This window comes from Homo sapiens, chromosome 11 (genome assembly GCF_000001405.40).
Source record: "Homo sapiens chromosome 11, GRCh38.p14 Primary Assembly".
Taxonomy (NCBI): Eukaryota; Metazoa; Chordata; class Mammalia; order Primates; family Hominidae; genus Homo; species Homo sapiens.
In genome coordinates, this window is record NC_000011.10 from 17,072,594 (window position 1) to 17,091,287 (window position 18,694).

The 18,694-nt window shown below is 43.6% G+C and overlaps 2 protein-coding genes and 2 non-coding genes across 9 annotated transcripts in view, besides 1 other annotated feature; all 4 read right to left on the bottom strand.

The window, feature by feature from the left end:
- Positions 1–1,794: 1,794 nt before the first annotated feature.
- Positions 1,795–5,074, bottom strand: RPS13 (ribosomal protein S13). Its single transcript, NM_001017.3, has 6 exons — positions 5,026–5,074; positions 4,836–4,884; positions 4,575–4,653; positions 2,861–3,030; positions 2,504–2,604; positions 1,795–1,873 (listed from the first exon to the last, which is right to left on the bottom strand). The coding sequence occupies exons 1-6, from the start codon at positions 5,046–5,048 to the stop codon at positions 1,840–1,842; spliced, it is 456 nt and encodes a 151-aa protein (NP_001008.1). The 5' UTR covers positions 5,049–5,074; the 3' UTR covers positions 1,795–1,839.
- Positions 2,060–2,151, bottom strand: SNORD14A (small nucleolar RNA, C/D box 14A). The gene has a single exon (NR_000022.1). It is a non-coding gene; the product is annotated as a small nucleolar RNA, C/D box 14A (small nucleolar RNA).
- SNORD14B (small nucleolar RNA, C/D box 14B) lies at positions 3,185–3,275 on the bottom strand. The gene has a single exon (NR_001452.1). It is a non-coding gene; the product is annotated as a small nucleolar RNA, C/D box 14B (small nucleolar RNA).
- Positions 5,108–5,307: an enhancer, noted in NCBI's record as "active region_4484". NCBI's record gives its function as "activates an Ori minimal core promoter by ATAC-STARR-seq in GM12878 lymphoblastoid cells {active_cell/tissue: GM12878}" and the evidence as "EXISTENCE:reporter gene assay evidence [ECO:0000049][PMID:35858748]".
- Positions 13,982–18,694, bottom strand: part of PIK3C2A (phosphatidylinositol-4-phosphate 3-kinase catalytic subunit type 2 alpha) — a 121,412-nt gene continuing 116,699 nt past the window's right edge. For all 6 annotated transcript variants that reach the window (NM_001321380.2, NM_001386870.1, NM_002645.4 and 3 more), the window contains one exon: positions 13,982–17,327. In NM_001321380.2, coding sequence (NP_001308309.1) covers positions 17,145–17,327 — 183 coding nt within the window. In that variant the 3' untranslated portion in view covers positions 13,982–17,144. The remainder of the gene's footprint in view (positions 17,328–18,694) is intronic.

The window sequence follows — 18,694 nt, forward strand, 5'->3', positions numbered from 1 at the left end:
ATGGGCCGGGCACAGTGGCTCACATGAGGTCAGGAGTTCAAAACCAGCCTGACCAACATGGTGAAACCCTGTTTCAACTAAAAAAAAAATACAAAATTAGCCAGGCATGGTAGCTCATGCCTGTAATCCCAGCTACTTGGGAAGCTGAGGCAGTAGAATCACCTGAACGCGGGATGCAGAGGTTGCAGTTGAAGAGATTGCGCCATTGGACTCCAGCCTGGGCAACAAGAGTGAAACTCCATCTCAAAAAAAAAAAAAAAAAAAAAAAAATCGGCTGGGCGCAGTGGCTCACGCCTGTAATCCTAGCACTTTGGGAGGCCAAGGTGGGTGGATCACGAAGTCAGGAGATCGAGACCATCCTGGCTAACACGGTGAAACCCCGTCTCTACTAAAAATACAAAAAATTAGCCGGGCATGATGGCAGGTGCCTGTAGTCCCAGCTACACAGGAGGCTGAGGCAGGAGAATGGCATTAACCCGGCAGGTAGAGCTTGCAGTGAGCTGAGATCACGCCACTGCACTCCAGCCCGGGCGACAGAGCGATACTGTAAGATGGACACCTACCACTTGAAAAGATGATTTTTCAAGGAAGAAAACAGTTGTTGCAGGAAACCTACAAATTCTAGGTGCTCACACGGATAGATTAGGAAAAATAATGTGCATATGCTATTTCCAACTGGGTCAAAGTAGATGTTAGGGAAAAAAAAAAAAGCATATAGATGCTTTTTTTTTGTTTTTTGGACGGAGTCTCACTGTCACCCAGGCTGGAGTGCAGTGATGTGATCTCAGCTCACTGCAACTTCCACCTCCTGGGTTACAGGTGCCTGCCACCATGCCCAGCTTATTTTTGTATTTTTAGTAATGACAGGGTTTCACCATGTTGGCCAGGCTAGTCTTGAACTTCTGACCTCAGGTGATCCACCCACCTTGGCCTCCCAAAGTGCGGGGATTACAGGCGTGAGCCAACACGTGCAGCCATTTCTGAATTCTGAAGGATCATGGCTCTGTCAACAAACACCAGCCAGACATGCAGCTTAACCATTTCTAAGTCTTATAACCTTGAACCACTCCCTAGGGTTGTCTGAGATTTTACTCATTCAAGCAGCAATACCCATGTACCCCATTAGGTTAAGAATTAAATTAAAACACAATACCAGAACAAGTAAATCTTACTTTAACCCATCCAAAGATTTTCAAAGGCCAGGAACCCAAGCCCACTTCAGATATTCTTCCTAAACCCCCAATGCTCCAGACGAACTGTGCCTGTTTACTGTCCCCTAGATTCCTTCATCTTTAACCCTCACCACAAGATCCAATGTCTCTCCATATCAGATTCCCCTCCCTCCAGTGACACTTTTATGTATTAGGTTAGTGCAAAAGTAAATGTGGTTTTTGCATTAAAGTAATGGCAAAAACCACAATTACTTTTGCACCAACCTAATATTACTATTTCTGATGCTACAAGTGGTTAACATCTGCCAGGGATCTGTCTCAGTCTTTTAACATTAAATGTATCAAAAATACTTAGAAACATTTTTGCCATGACACCAAAACAAACACAAAGGCATTATTTCCTAGTGTCTTCCAGTTCTCCATGTTTAAAGCAACCACCTATGAGGTTATAAGCTGCTCAACTGGTTTAAGGGGCCAATCAAGGGATGTGATGGACAGTATCTTACTGCTCCCTGGAATCCTAACATCAATCACCCAAAACACTTCCCCATCAAACAAGATCAACACATATGAACCACTGATATATATAATTTTTCTTCTAGGAAAATAAATATGAAACATGCTTTTAGTTAAACAATCATTTTATTGCTTGAGTACACAGACAAATTTATGCGACCAGGGCAGAGGCTGTAGATGATTCACTGAAAAAGAAAAAAGGGGAAAGAAAGAAAATCAGGATTAATACTAGTCCCTCCACATTCATTAACAGAATCTCCCCACTAATGGTGCTATTCTCAAACAGTTAATAAATCCAAACTATATAAAGTGCACCAAACTTCTGAATACCTGAACCAACTCATTGTGTTCAAGCACAATGAATGAAGATGCTCACTCAGACATCCAAGGAAGAACTGGCCAACATAAGGAAAAACATTTCTGGTGGAAACTGCGAATGTCTGGCAACCAATCATCATAGTGAGCAATTCATGTGAAAATTAATTCAAACTCCTGGGAGTAGAGGTATGAAAGGAAAATCTACCTACTATCTAAAAGAGAGTCAAAGGGCTTATTCATGGTCTAAATCTGGGGTCTGCAACTATGGCCCTCTGCTTGTCTTTATTAAAGACAAGCAGCCACACCCATTCGATTATGTATTGCCTGTGGCTGCTTTCCCACTACCAGGCCAGAGCTCAAAGAGCAGTTAACAAAATAGCCCCCAAGGCTGAACATATTTACTACTAGCCCCCAAGGCTGAACATATTTACTACTAGGACTTTTACTACTGGCTGACTCCTATTCTTGATAACAACGACAAAAGAGTTGATACTTACTATTTCCAATTGGGAGGGAGGACTCGCTTGGTCTTATAATATCGAGCCAAACGGTGAATCCGGCTCTCTATTAGAATCAGACGGAATTTAGCATCCTTATCCTAAAAATAAAATTTGGTGCAATTCAAGAAAACCACCCAAAATGACCTAACATTATCAAACATTAATAAGAGAATGTAGAGCTACCATGCACTTTCTATAATGAAAATCTCTTTGGATAGAATTTGAACTTCAAAGCAGCACTACACTGGTTTGTGTACTAAGCCTTGGATAATTCAAACCAGATGCATTACATTTTACCGAAAAAATTTAGTACAAGCAGTCCTACTTAGCACCAGGTTTTATTTATTAGCTTACCTTTCTGTTCCTCTCAAGATGCTTTCGAACAGCAACTGCTTTCTTAATTAAATGGTAGAGATCTTCAGGAAGATCAGGAGCAAGTCCCTTAGACTTAAGAATTCTTAAAATTTTATTGCCTGTCACAAAACGTACTTGTGCAACACCATGTGAATCTCTCAGGATTACACCTGAAAAGGGAATCACGTTTTAACTTTCAACACGAAACACAAACTGGAGAATGTGATGATGTCAAGGCTCAGAAATCAGGGCATAGTTTCCTATCTGTAAGATGGGGGTATACTTTTATACATCACAGAAACCAACGTGAGAATGCACATAAAGCTCACTCAGACATCCAAGGAAGGTTTACCCAACACTAAGGAAAACCTTTCTGGTGGAAACTGCGAATGTTGGAAAACCATCATCACAGTGAGCTTGCTGGAATACAGATGACCAAAGGGATTAATGAGATTCCACAGCTAACATTTACTGAGAACTCTGGTCAGATATTCTTCTAAAAACTTTACACGTTATTTCTTTTAAACCTCTAATGAGCTCTGACTACTTACAATCTATGACATATTTTCTTTTGATGTGTCATACCTCCAATTAGACTACAAGCTCCAGGAGTACAGATATTTTGCACCCCCCTCCCCCTTTTAAGAGGTGGGATCAGGTGGTGTGGCTCACGCCTGTAATCCCAGCACTTTGGGAGGCCGAGGCAGTGGATCATCTGAGGTCAGGAGTCTGAGACCAGCCTGGCCAACATGGTGAAACCTCGTCTCTACTAAAAATACAAAAATTAGCCGGGCGTGGTGGTGCGGCCTGTAGTCTCAGCTACTCCAGAGGCAGAGGCAGGAGAATTGCTTGCTTGAACCCAGGAGGCGGAGGTTGCAGTGAGCCGAGATCATACCACTGCACTCCAGCCTGGGTGACAAAGTGAGAATCGGTCTCAAACAAAAACACACAAATTAGCTGGGCCTGCTGGCGGGCGCCTGTAATCCCACCTATTCGGGAGGCTGAGGCAGGAGAATCGCTTGAATCCAGGAGGTGGAGGTTGCAGTGAGCTGAGATCGCGCCACTGCACTCCAGACTGGGCGACAAGAGCAAGACTGTCTCAAAAAAAAAAAAAAAAAGAGGTGGGGTCTCTCTGTCACCCAGGAGTGCAGTGGCTTCATCATAGCTCACTGCAGCCTGGGACTTCTAGGCTCTGGTGATCCTCTCACCTCTGCATCCCAAGTATCTGGGACTACAGGCACATTGCGGCTGGCTTTTTTGGGCGGGGGAGTCGGAGAGTAGTATGTTCTCAGGCCCCAGAACCATGTTCAGCACATAGAAGGTAAACATTTGCTGAATGAAGCCACTTGCACGAAGTCACACGCAGCTGAGATTCAAACCACACCTAACTGTGAGGAACTGTGTCAGGCACTCTGCTTAGCCAATTCCAACTCCTCCACTTGACAGCTGTGTGATTTGGGGCTGGTTAGTATCCAGCGGCAGTGTGCCTCTGCTTCCTCAACTGTAAACTGGGGTGAAAGCCATGAAGATTTATTTCAAAGTATTGTGGTCAGAATTAAACGAAATCAGTACATGTGAAGTGCTTACAATGATGCCTCTAGCACGGTGGCGAGACCAGAGTTTTGGCTATTTTTAAAATAACTTTACCACCTACTAGATCCTACAAGTCACACGAGGACAGGCGAAATAGGCTATGTTAGACACAAACACTCACCGATCTGTGAAGGAGTAAGGCCCTTCTTGGCCAGTTTGTAAATCTGCTCCTTCACGTCGTCAGATGTCAACTTCAACCACTGTTATGGAATAGAAAGCAGCCTTAGGATGAGAACCCAGGAATGGCGCCGCAGAACAGCGGTCTCTCCTTCCGCAAAACCGCGCTCCTCATACACGCAAGTTCCTCACCCTGGCGTCGCTTCACCCGAGACAAATGCCAACCCCCTCCCCGGATTCTCCCCGGTCCCAGCGCGCTACTTACAGTGGGGACGCTGCGTCGATAGGGTAAAGCCGACTGGGACAGGCCCTTCCTGGGGAGAGAAGCAGTCTCGAGGTGAGGTGGCGGCTAGTGCCAGAGCAGCCCAGAACATCATCCCCTCGGCCCGCTGCCCACACTCCCTGTCTTCCTCCCACCCCCCGCCCAGCAATCCGGCTTGATGCCCCGAGCTCACCCGGGAGCATGCATGCGACCCATGATGGCGGCGATCAGGCAACGAAAGGAGAGCGAGAGTGGAAACGCCGCAGGAAGCCACCCAACACGCAGGAAGTGACCTCACACGTCCCCGCTTCCTCTCACGCAGGAGGCGGAGCTACGCTGCGCAGCCACCGCCCGTCTGTGTGACTACATCTCCCGAAATGCATTTCAGCGTCGCAAGAGATCGTCAATCCAGCCTCATCCCGGCATGCATCGGTCTTTGGTCAGCCTTGTTGCCAGAGCGGGAATTTGAGGCTGACGCCAGCTTGCGTCGAAATTCCCTGTGGACGCCGAGATCACAAAGATTCGAATGCTGCGCTGGGGGTGGGTATGGAGCAGGTAGGGCTGGAAGAAGCAGCCATACACAGGTGTTTGCTCATTCACCAGTGCCTGGCTTTGTCCTGGCACTAGATCCCTCAGAGTCGGCCCTGCGCCTAATAAATTAACAGATACAATAGCATGTGATGAGGACCACACGGGAAGCCATGGCAGCGGCTACCGCCCAGCCAGCGCTTCCATTTCTCATTTCTAAATCCTACCCTAATCTGTCAGGGGAGAGTCGCTGACGGTGAAGAACCGGTCTAAGGAGTTGAACCAGGTCCCCACGGATGCCTGCCGCCCTCCGCACTCGAATTCCCCTGCGCAGGGCTCTGGGGCGCTGGGCTCGCCGGGGAGAAGGGTTGGGCAGAGGCTTACGGAGCTATGTTCCCAAGTGAGAGAGTTGGCGGGCAGGGAAGAGCCTTGGGAGCAAGACTGCAAAGGCCAAGAGGATGAGGGATAAAATGAAGCATTTGAATTTCATGGGAAAAGGGAACCGTCAAGGAAGAAGCTTTTTTTTTTTTTTGAGACGGAGTTTCGCTCTTGATTCGCAGGCTGGAGTGCAATGGCGCGATCTCGGCTTGCCGCACCCTCCGCCTCCCGGCTTCAAGCGATTCTCCTGCCTCAGCCTCCTGAATAGCTGGGATCACAGGCATGCGCCACCACTTCCAGCTAATTTTGTATTTTTAGTAGAGACGGGTTTTTCCATGTTGGTCAGGCTGGTCTTAAATTCCCGACCTCAGGTGATCCGCCCGCCTCGGCCTCCCAAAGTGCTGGGATTACAGGCGTGAGCCACCGCGCCTGGCCGGAAGAAGCTCTTTTAAGACAGACCTAGCCTGGGCAACATGGCGAAACCCCCTCTCTATAAATACAAAGAATTAGCCGGGCGTGCTCGCTCGTGCCTTTGGTTCCAGCTACGAAGGAGGCTGAGGTGGAGAATCTCTGGAGCCGGGAAGGACATTGCGGTGAGCCGAGATAGCACCACTGCGCGCCAGCCTGGGCAACAGAGCAAGACTCTGTCTTAAAAAAAAAAAAAAAAAAGGAAAGAAAGAAAAAGACTGACTCAGTGCCGGTACACAACAATGCGTTGAAAGAATGGGCAAATGAAGCAGCTTCTTAAAATTTTAAAAAGTAAGCATAGCTCTAGGAAGGAGGGAGGTCAGTGAAATCAAACTCCTGTCGACAAGCTTAAAGTAACTGGCAAGACGCTGGGAAACTAGATACTGAAACATCCGCTCTTAACTTTTAACCTGTCACTATTTGAAATAAAGTTATCAGGGATAGCCGGGCGCGGTGGCTCACGCCTGTAATCCCAGCACTTTGGGAGGCTGAGGCGGGCGGATCACGAGATCAAGAGATCGAGACCATCCTGGCTAACACGGTGAAACCCCGTCTCTACTAAAAATACAAAAAAATTAGACGGGCGTGGTGGCGGGCGCCTGTAGTCCCAGCTACTCAGGAGGCTGAGGCAGGAGAATGGCGTGAACCCGGGAGGCGGAGCTTGCAGTAAGCCACGATCGCACCACTGCACTCCAGCCTAGGTGGCAGAGCGAGACTCCGTCTCAAAAAAAAAGTATCAGGGATAAAGAGAGAACCCTTTATAACAACAAACGGGTCAGTTCTCCAAGAAAACAACACCCCTCCCCCCCAAAAAAGCCATAATCTGTCACTATTTGATTAATAACTTTTCCCAAAGCATTAGGAATTTTAGTCAAATCGGGTACCCTATTTGGGTAATGTTTTTTTCTAGCAAAGTTTATCATTAGCCAATTTTACATTTTTAGTTCAGATATGGAATAGGTATCTCAAATTTAATATGACTCCAATTCCCAAACCATGCCCCTTTGTTTCAGTTAAACACGATCCTGTTTGCTCAAACTTAATACAAACCTAGGCATCTCCGTTTTTCTCTGATTTCCCTCTGTCATCCCAGCTCTACCACAAGAATGTATCATGAATATGTTCCCTTTGCCCCATTTCCACCTTCAGTCCCAGCCACCATCACCTCCTATCTGGGCAACTCTGTAGTATCCACACCGTCTGGTCACGTCCCCACTCTAAACACAACCCACTCTCCACCTAGCAGTCAGAGTGATCCATTAAATACATAAAGCAGATTAATTCATTGCTCCCCTGTGTAAATCCCTCCCATACTTTCTCAATGCACCTAAGATCCAATCCCTGGACCCACGTCTTGCCACTATCCCCCGATTCTAAACGCTCTAACCGCACTTACTCCTTTCTGACTCTACAAGGTAGCAATGTGTTCCTTTCCTGCTTAGAGCCCTTCCTCTTGCTGTTGGCACTGCCTGAAGTGCTTGCTCTTCCTCAAGACCTTTTCAGGTCTCACTTTCACATCCTGGCCTCCATGTCATCTCAGGGTGGCTTTCCCTAAATAGGATCATCTAAAGTAGTCCTTCTTCCCAACACAATATCCTATTGATTACTTTCAAAGCACCCAAATCTCTAACATCCTTTCTAGTTGCTTGTTTGGTTGCCTGTCCACCTCCAATAAAAATTAGCTCTGAGAGTACAACGTTTATTGCTTTATCTCCAACACCCACAAGAGTGCCTGGCGGGAAGTTAGGTACTCAGTAATTATTTGAAAGAATGAACCTAAATAATGTCATTTTTCCCCCTTTGTAGATGTCTAGATTGTAGACTTTATTTCAGGAAGATGATGGGAATAGTAGATTTAGCAATCTAGTCCCAGATTACAGGATGTCTGTGTGTAATTTGGGTTGTCAGTTAGTTATACATGAAGATTTTTGTTTTTGTTTTTTGAGAGAGTCTCGTTCTGTCACCCAGGCTGGAGTGCAGTGGCCTGATCTTGGCTCACTGCAACCTGCACCTCCCGAGTTCAAGAGATTCTCCTGCCTCAGCCTCCCGAGTAGCTGGGACTACTGGCACCCGCCACCACGCCCGGCCAATTTTTGTATTTTAGTAGAGATGGGGGTTTCACCATGTTGGCCAGGCTGGTCTCAAACTCCTGATCTCAAGTGATCCGCCCGCCTCAGCCTCCCAAAGTGCTGGGATTACAGGTGTGAGCCACTGCACCCGGCCTGCCATAGTTATTTTATCTGGTAATGTTTGTATATTCAGTAATGATGATAAAATACGATGTAGTGCTGAGTTTTAATCAAACGGTGTTTACCTTCTATTAAGCCATGCTCCATTGCCTTTATATGTGGCATGCTTTTGTGAGAGCTGCTTTTGCAAATTGGAAACTTCTAATTTTTTAGACAAAGGGAAAGTTATAATTTTAGTATCTAGAAAATAGTTACTGTTAATGCATTTATTAAGGTCAGAAGTTCAGTGATCAAATAGCTTTACAAACTGAATTTTTAATATTTTTTTACTGAGGTAAATTCATACCATGAAATTCACTTTTTTACCATTTTGAAGTATACAGTTACTTCAGTAACTTTTATTGCACTCACAATGTTGTGCAGTCATTACCACTAATTCCTGATATGTTATTACCCCCAAAAGAAACCCGGTAACTATTAAGCTGTTGGCTCTCCAGTCTCCTCTCCCCACTCTAATCTGCTGTCTCATGGACTTGCCTATTCTGGACATTTCATATAAATAGAATCATAAGGCCAGGCACGGTGGCTCATGCCTGTAATCCCAGCATTTTGGGAGGCCGAGGCGGGTGGATCACGAGGTCAGAAGTTCAAGACCAGCCTGGCCAACATGGTGAAACCTCGTCTCTACTAAAAATACAAAAATTAGCCAGGTATGGTGGCAGGCACCTGTAATCCCAGCTACTCCGGAGGCTGAGGCAGAGAATCGCTTGAACCCAGGAGGTGGAGGTTGCAGTGAGCCGAGATGGTGCCACTGCACTCCAGCCTAGGCATGAGCCACCGCGTCCGGCCTTATGATTCTATTTATATGAAATGTCCAGAGATGGAGTTTTGTCATGTTTGCCAGGCTGGTCTCAAACTCCTGACCTCAGGTGATCCATCTGCCTCGGCCTCCCAAAGTGCTGGGATTACAGGTGTAAGCCACCGTGCCCAACTTTTTTTTAAAGGGACGGGGTTCTCACGATTTTGCTCAGGCTGGTCTTGAACTCCTGGGCTGATGCAACCCTCCAGCCTCAGCCTTCCAAAGTGCTGGGATTATAGGCATGAGCCACTCCCCAGCTTCCCGAGCATGTTTTCAGGGTTCATTCATGTTGTAGCACGTATCAGTACTTTTTCCCTTTTTATGACTGAATAAAAGTCCATTGTATGGACTTTTTTTTTTTTTTTTTTTTTTTTTTTTGAGACGATCAAGCGATTCTCCTGCCTCAGCCTCCCTAGTAGCTGGGATTACAGGCATGTACCACCATGCCCAGCTAATTTTGTATTTTTAGTAGAGACGGGGTTTCTCCATGCTGGTCAGGCTGGTCTGGAACTCCCAACCTCAGGTGATCTGCCCGCCTTGGCCTCCCAAAGTGCTGGCATTACAGGCGTGAGCCACCACGCCTGGCCCTTTGCCCATTTTATTTTTTTTATTTTTTCTTGCTCTGCAGTCATCCAGGCTGGAGTGCAGTGGCACGATCTTGGCTCACTGCAACCTCTGCCTTCCGGATTCAAGTGATCCTCGTGCTTCAGCCTCCTGAATAGCTGGGATCACAGGAGCTATTTTGAAGTATACAGTTACTTCGTAACTTTTATTACACTCACAATGTTGTGCAATCATTACCACTAATTCCTGATATGTTACTACCCACAAAAGAAACCCGGTAACTGGAGCGTGCCACCACGCCTAGCTAGTTTCTGTGTGTTTTTTTTTAGTAGAGTCAGGGTTTTGCCATGTTGGCCAGGCTGGTCTCGAACTCCTGACCTCAGATGATCCACCCGCCTCAGCCTCTCAAAGTGCTGGGATTACAGGCGTGAGCCACCATGCCCGGCCCTTTGCCCATTTTTAAATTGGACTGTCTTTTTGTTGTTGAGTTGTAAGAATTCTTTACATATATCTGATTCCTTTTATCAGATACACTATTGGGAAATATTTTTTCCCATTCTATGGGTTGTCTTTTATTTCTTTAATAGCGTCCTTTGATGCACAAAAGTTAATTTTGATGAAGTCCCAATTAATCCATTTTTTTCTTTTGTGGCTCATGCTTTTAGTGTCACATCTAAGAATCATCAAATCCAAGGTCATAAAGATGTGTGTACACCCAGGTTTTTGTTTTATTCTAAGAGTTTTATATTTTTGGCTTTTTTTTTTCTTTTTTTTTTTTTTTCCCAGAGACAAGGTCTCGCTCCGTCACCCATGCTGTAGCGCAGTGATGAGATCTGGCTTATTGCAGCCTTGAACTCCTGGGCTCAAGGGATCCTCCCACCTTGACCTGCCAAAGTACTGGGATTGCAGGTGTGAGCCACTGTGCCCAACCACTTTTAGCTCTTATGTTTAGGTCTTTGATCCATTTTGAGTTAATTTTTTTATGTGGTGTAAGAGTCCTACTGATGCTTTTGCATGTGGTTATCCAGTTGTACCAGCACCATTTATTGGAAAAACCTTTTCTTTTTTTAAATGGTCAAAAAAAACCACAACTTTTTTTCTTTAAATGGTCTTGACAGTGTTGGTGTGTGTCTTTCCTGGATCATGATTCAAACAAATAAAAAGAACTAAATACTGATTCTTGAAATGAAAAAATACAAGAATTGGCTGGGCATGATGGCTCCCGCCTGTAATCCCAACACTTTGGGAAGCCAAGGTGGACAGATTGCTTGAGCCCAGGTATTTGAGAGTTTGAGACCAGCCTGGGCAACATGGTGAAACCCCATTTCTACAAAAAATACAAAAATTAGCCAGGCATGGTGGCATGTGCCTGTAGTCCCAGCTATTTCAGAGGCTGAAGTGAGAGGATGATTTGAACCCAGGGAGGTTGAGGCTGCAGTGACCCATGATTGTGCCACTGCACTCCAACCTGGGCAACAGATTGAGACCCCGTCTCAAAAAAAGAAAAAGAAAATAGAACAACCAAAATTTAAAAACTAATGGATAGGTTAAACAGTTGGAAGTAGTGAATTAGAAAATAAGTCAGAAAAAATTATTGAGAATGCAGGGACAAAAAAAAAAGAGACATGAAGAGAAGACATGGAAGAAGAGTGGAAATGTCTATTATACATTATACATTTAATCAGAGTTCGAAAAGGTGGCAGACAAAATGTTTGAAACGATAATGGCTAGCAAGTATTCAGAACTGAAGAAAGCTACTGATCCAGTTTTTTTTTTGTTTTTTTTTTTTTGAGACGGAGTCTCACTCTGTTGCCCAGGCTGGAGTGCAATGGCACAGTCTCAGCTCACTGCAACCTCTGCCTCCCGGGTTCAAGCGATTCTCCTGCCTCAGCCTCCCGAGTAGCTGGGACTACAGGTGCGTGCCACCACACCCAGCTAATTTTCGTATTTTTAGTAGAGATGGGGTTTCAGTATTTTGGCCAGGCTGGTCTTGAACTCCTGACCTCGTGATCTGCCCACCTCAGCCTCCCAAAGTGCTGGGATTATAGGCGTGAGCCACCACACCCAACTTTTTGTTGTTGTTGTTGGAGACGAGTCTCGCTCTGTTGCCCAGGCTGGAATGCAGTGGCATGATCTCGGCTCACTGCCACCTCCGCTTCCCAGGTTCAAACAATTCTCCAGCCTCAGCTTCCTGAGTAGCTGGGATTATAGGCACGCGCCACCACGCCCGGCTAATTTTTAAATTTTTAGTAGAGGTGGGGGTTTCACCATATTGGCCAGGCTAGTCTCGAACTCCTAGCCTCGTGATCCGCCTGCCTCGGCCTCCCAAAGTGCTGGGATTATAGGGGTGAGCCACCGCACCCAGCCCTGATCCACGGTTTTAAGAATCTTAAATAGGGCGGCTGGGCATGGTGGCTCACGCCTGTAATCCCAGCACTTTGGGAGGCCGAGGCGGGTGGATCACGAGGTCAGGAGATCGAAACCATCCTGGCCAACACGGTGAAACCCCGTCTCTACTAAAAATACAAAAAATTAGACGGGTGTGGTGGCAGGCGCCTGTAGTCCCAGCTACTCGGGAGGCTGAGGCAAGAAAACGGCATGAACCCGGGAGGCGGAGCTTGCAGTAAGCCGAGATCGCGCCACTGCACTCCAGCCTGGGCGAGAGTGAGACTCCTTCTCAAAAAATAAATAAATAAATAATCTTAAATAGGATACATTCAAAGATATCCATACCTAGGAACATCTTAGTTAATACAGATGGAACAAGGTTAGCCCTAAGGTAATAACTATTGAAGCTGTGTGATGGATTCACCCATGGAGTTCATTATGCTGTTATCTGATTTTGTAAATGATTAAAGACTTGCATAATGAAGTTTTTCAGAAGAGTAAGGATGAAATAAAGATCCTTTTTTTTCTGACAGAAACTGTCACCCCCAAAGCTGGCTCTAATTGAGTTACTGCTCTTTCATGGTCTCTGGGCCCTTTCACATGTCATCTTAGGGTCAGAGAACCACACCTTCACACTGTTACCATTACAGGATGAAGGTACTGTATAAGAAGAATCCACATTTCTCAGTTCTGTAGATACGTCTGTAATATAACTGTTGCAGGACTACTTAATATCTTAAGTACCAAAGGCCAGGGACTATACTCACAGAAGCATTTCCCTTCTAAGAAATAGTGATGGACTGTAGCAAAGTGGTTGCAATCCAGACCTTCAAAGAGTAACTCTCAGGCCCGGCGTGGTGGCTGTAATCCCAGCACTTCGGGAGGCCGAGGCGGGCGGATCACTTGAGGTCAGGAATTTGAGACCAGCCTGGCCAACACGGCGAAACCCCATCTATTAATAAGGGAGGAGACCACCCCTCATATCGTCTTATGCCCAATTTCTGCCTCCAAAGAAAGAAGTAAAAACTAAAAGGCAGAAATGAAATCCACAGGCAGACAGCCCGGTGCCACACCCCAGGCCTGGTAGTTAAAGATTGACCCCTGACCTAATGGGTTATCTATAGATTACAGACATTGTATAGAAATGCACTGTGAAAATCCCTGTTTTGTTCCGATCTAATTACCGGTGCATGCAGCCCCCAGTCACATACCCCTGGCTTGCTCAATCAATCACGACCCTCTCACACGCACCCCCTTAGAGTTGTGAGCCCTTAAAAGGGACAGGAATTGCTCCCTGGGGGGGCTCGGCTCGAGACAGGAGTCTTGCCAATGCCCGCGGCCGAATAAACCCCTTCCTTTAACTCCGCGTCTGAGGAGTTTTGTCTGCGGCTTGTCCTGCTACACTAAAAATACAAAAATTAGCCGGGCGTGGTTGTGTGTGCCTGTAGTTCCAGCTACTCAGGAAGCTGAGGCAGGAGAATCGCTTTAACCCAGGAGATGGAGGTTGCAGTGAGCCGAGATGTCGCCACTGCACTCCAGGCCTGGGAGACAAAGTAAGACTCTGTCTCAAAAAAAAAAAAGAGTTAACACTCAGAAGTCAGAATCTCTATTTGAACATTTTTAGGGGCAACTAACAGGTTAGTTCTGAAATTCAGGATTATTAAACCTAATAGACTCCTGGGTGAGATGCAAAGAACATCAAGAGTGAGCTCATTGCAAAGTCTGGAACCAAAAATGTTAGTATGTCAACAAGGAAAGAAATGATAGCAGAGTTCTTTTATTCCAGAAATATTTTAATACAATCGTAGTACAGTTATGAAGTCACATTCAATCCACTGAATATATTCAAGGTATTAATAAAAATATTATACATCTTTATTCACTATCTTAATATAATTAAAGTATTTGGTTCTTATAGGTAAGATTAATTACCATATTCATTCATATATGCACTGCTAGTCAAACAACATGGAAATGAATGTATGGATTATGATAGTGGGGGTTCAGTCCTTTTTGATCTGAAGTCTAAGTTTCAAAAGTGAATGTTTTCTTTTTTAAATGTCACAATATTTGAATCCTAGAAAGAATAGGCAACTAATTTAAGGCAAGATATTGAAACTTTTATACAACTTTAATTTGAAAAAAGAAATGATCAAAGATCATACATGCCTTAACATTTAGATACCTATAGATTCATATAAAGGCAGTAATAAAAATATCAGTGCAAGTTCTACATTGGGTTCCTCAGTAGAGAAAATAATAGGTTCTTTGAGTGAACCATTATCTTCAAATCCCAAAACACTGGCAAGAAGAAATAATTCTTCTGATGCAGGACAACATGTAGCATAATTATTTTTAGTCAATAAAGGTGAGTATAAAATATTGTGATTATACATAAAAATTAGTGTCTTGGCCAGTTTGTTAAACTTTTTTTAGATTTACTTTAATGTCAGCTTTTAAAAAATGCTTAAAAATCCAACTGATTTAAAATTTATTGATAGTAGTAGTGCAAAGAGGCTCCACTCTACTTTTTGGTACGGGCTGAAGATTAGCATTTCATAAAGAAATAAACTATATGTAAAATGTATGTGTGTTTGAATGAGTAAAGAAGGCACAAAATGAGTTAAATTAAGAGAAAACATTACCACTTGTTCTGAACTCTTAACTGTACAGTATTATAATATACACTTAGATATGAATCCAGATTTCTTATAATGGAAGTGACAGGACATTTTTTAGCTCTATTATTTGTGCTAAAAGACACTGTCATAATAGACTGCAAAAAGGCAGTACATGTTGAGTCTAATTAACGACCTCTACCAAGACAGTTTTTGTTTGTTTGTTTGTTTTTAAATTACAGTGGCTAAGTGATAACTGGTGGAATGGAATTCGGTCTCAAAAGCTTAAGTGAAAATTACTAGTACATTTGCATTTGCAAAGGTACTTACATACTTTAAGGAAATGTTAATGATCTGTGGAAAAAGCAAATGGTGGTGCTTTGATCTGCATTTTAATTAACATTAAATAGACAACACATTTTAACATTTAAAAAAGACATTCATATACCATACTCATGGGTTTAACTACATATGGACCATTAGTGTTAGGCACCAAAAATTTCAAGTCTTTCCCCCACCCCGTCCCAGTGATATATTATCAACTCTTCTATTTCTTCCCTGTAGGTATCACCATTTACATTAAACATTTGTGCAGTTCATAAAAATTCTGTTCTGGGAAACTGAATTGGCGATTGTCCTTTCTCTCTTGGTATTCTTTATTGCATATTTTGTCAGTTTTCTCACAGCAACCTGATTGGTACAATTTCTATTACCATTTTTAAAGTATCTGTATTTCTATTCTAACCATGAGTTCTTATTATATATATGTATATATCCAAATTAACAAAATTGTGTCTGAAGTTGAGTAACTAATAAAAATGAATCTTACTCTTTTTTTCTTTTTTTTTAAGATGGAGTTTTGCTCTTGTCACCCAGGCGGGAGTGCAGTGGCGTGATCTCGGCTCACTGCAACCTCCGCCTCCTGGGTTCAAGCGATTCTCCTGCCTCAGCCCCCCAAGTAGCTGGGATTACAGATGCCCGCTACCACGCCTGGCTAATTTTTGTGTAGAGACGGGGTTTCACCATGTTGGCCAGGCTGGTCTCAAACTCCTGACCTCAGGTGATCCGCCCACCTTGGCCTCCCAAAGTGTTGGGATTACAGGCAGGAGCCACCGTGCCCGGCCGAATCTTATTCTTACTGGTTACTGTAGAATAATTTCAGTCCTGTCCCTTATGATTCTGAATCCAATTATATAAAGGAAAATAACTTTTCATGTGAATGTAAAATGTTTACACACATAAGTAAGACAGTTTACAAGACAAACTGGTCTACACAGACAAAGGTCTATATTAAAGTTCAATCTGGACCCTAGAATTCTTGTCATGGGCCTCTTGTGAAGAGTCTGCCCTACTCAGGAATGGGCACATGGGTTAACAATTTTCACTTATTTACTGAGGGAGTGGAGTATAGATGTAGGGAGGTGAAATTACCATTCCTGGGAATAAATGTAGGATTTTAATGGAATGATAGAATTTATTGTACAATCACATTGGTGAGTCTTATTCAGGTATTAGGCTTAACTATTTAGATAACTAATTCATACATCAGAAGTAAAGGATTTTTTTGTGGGAAAAACATTAGTACATGTACATAATTTCTTGTCTTTAGTAAGCTGCAAGTGAGTGAAAACTATGTACTAATTATTTATCAAATCAGGAAAAAAATCAGAAACGAAGTGCCAGGGAAGCATATAAAGTTAAGGCACCATTATTTACAACATCAGTGATTGGCACTTATTCTGAAAAAGGCTTTAAAGACATGAATAAAAAGCAGTATTACGTTTTTCCCTACTTCTATAAACTACTTAGTAGTTCTTAACTTAGCTATCTATTATTTGTGCTTTGTTTTTCAGCTCCATGAATAGCAGCTGGATTTTACGGTAACATCCTGCATTTTTCCTTTACTTTGGTGTTTGTGAACATTACACAGTGGTAAAGGCTATAAAAGGTGCATAACAGGAAAACACATATGCTTTGCCTCCTTATAGAAAACAATGCAAAATAGGTGGCTGAACTGACATAGTACTGTCTCAAAGTCTTTTTCAGGAATTAGTATATATTAAGTTTAGGGTTTGTAGCATTCTACATAATGACTTTAAAACAGCAATGGCTTCCAAAAATTCAAAAAGGTTAGTTATGTGACTGTTGGTCCAACAGATGTGTTGAAATGCAGCAAGTATATTTAACTTTATAAGTTCTGTCCAAGTATAAAAATACTATACAAAATTAACAAGTGTGTGTGTGTGTGTCTGTGTGTGTGTGCATGTATGCATGCACGTTTATAACTGTTCATGCTTCCAAAGCTCAAACATTCACTAGTTTACAAGTATGTTGCCGCAGTCAGCTGATACCATTTAACCGTCTCTTTGCTCAAGTTGAAATCTTTCAAAGGCAGGGTTACTCCACCCAAGAAAAAATTCTCCCGCAGAGATTCTGCACTGAGTACACTTAGTTGAAGTTCTCGCTGTCTTAGGGTTTCTTTGCTATATCCACTGTATACAAGCTACAACAAAGGAAAAAAGAACAGTAAATCACAAATTAAAGTTTGTTTGGTTTCTTGGAACATTTCAAGTGAAAACGTGAGAATATTAGCCAAAGAGTGACCACAATGAGTGACACTGATTATGACACATCCGGTAGGTTTTGTCTGAATACTTTAGAAGGACATTTTGTGTTTCAGGAGTCTTGGATTGTACTATCATTCCTGTGATGTCTGACATAGAGAGATACAAAGCAAGACTAATCATTAGCTAAAAAATAAAAACTAGAGGCCAGGCATGGTGGCTCACGCCTGTAATCCCAGCACTTTGGGAGGCTGAGGCGGGTAGATCACCTGAGGTTGGGAGTTTACAACTAGCCTGACCAACATGGAGAAACCTGTCTCTACTAAAAATACAAAATCAGCCAGGCGTGGTGGCACATGCCTGTAATCCCAGCTACTCAGGAGGCTGAGGCAGGAGAATCACTTGAACTCAGGAGGCGGAGGTTGCAGTGAGCCAACATGGCTCTATTGCACTCTAGCCTGGGTAACAACAGCGAAACTCTGCCTCTAAAAATAAATAAAATAATATAATAATAATAATCATCTAAGAGGTGGAGTGATCTAAGACAAACTGAATAGTCTGGAAGTAATTAAGCACAGACTAGACAACCACTTTTTGTGACTATTATAGAGGGGGGTTCACACACTGGAAACGTAGTTGAATTATGGCTCCTAAGGTCTATGAGGGCTCTATTTTATATCATTTTGTTAAATACTATTGGACTGTTATTGGTGTACACTGTATAACAAATAGTTCAGCAACTGATACCTAAAAACTTAAAATTTTTTTTTTTTTGGGACAGGGTCTCTCACTCTGTTGCCCAGTCTGGAGTGCAGTGGCATGATCATGACTCACTGTGGCCTTGACCTCCTGGGCTCAAGCAATCCTTTGACCTCAGCCTCCCGAGGAGCTGGGATTACAGGTGCGTGCCACCATGCCTAGCTAATTTTTTTCTTTTTTTTTTTTTGTAGAGATGGAATTTCATCATGTTGCCCAGGCTGGTCTCAAACTCCTGAGCTCAAGGGATGTATCCACCTCGGCCTCCCAAATTGCTAGGATTACAGGCATGAGCCACTGCGCCTGGCCTTAAAATGTTTTAAAATTTAAAATCTCAAAACAATGGACACAGAGAAGGGGACAACACACACTGGGGCCTGTTGGGGGATGGGATGGTGGGAGGGAGAGCATTAGGAAAAATAGCTAATGCATGCTGGGCTTAATACCTAGGTGATAGGTTGATAGGTATGCAGACCACAATGGTACGTTTAGCTATGTAACAAACTTGCACATCCTGCTTACGCACGTCAGAACTTAAAAATGAAAATTA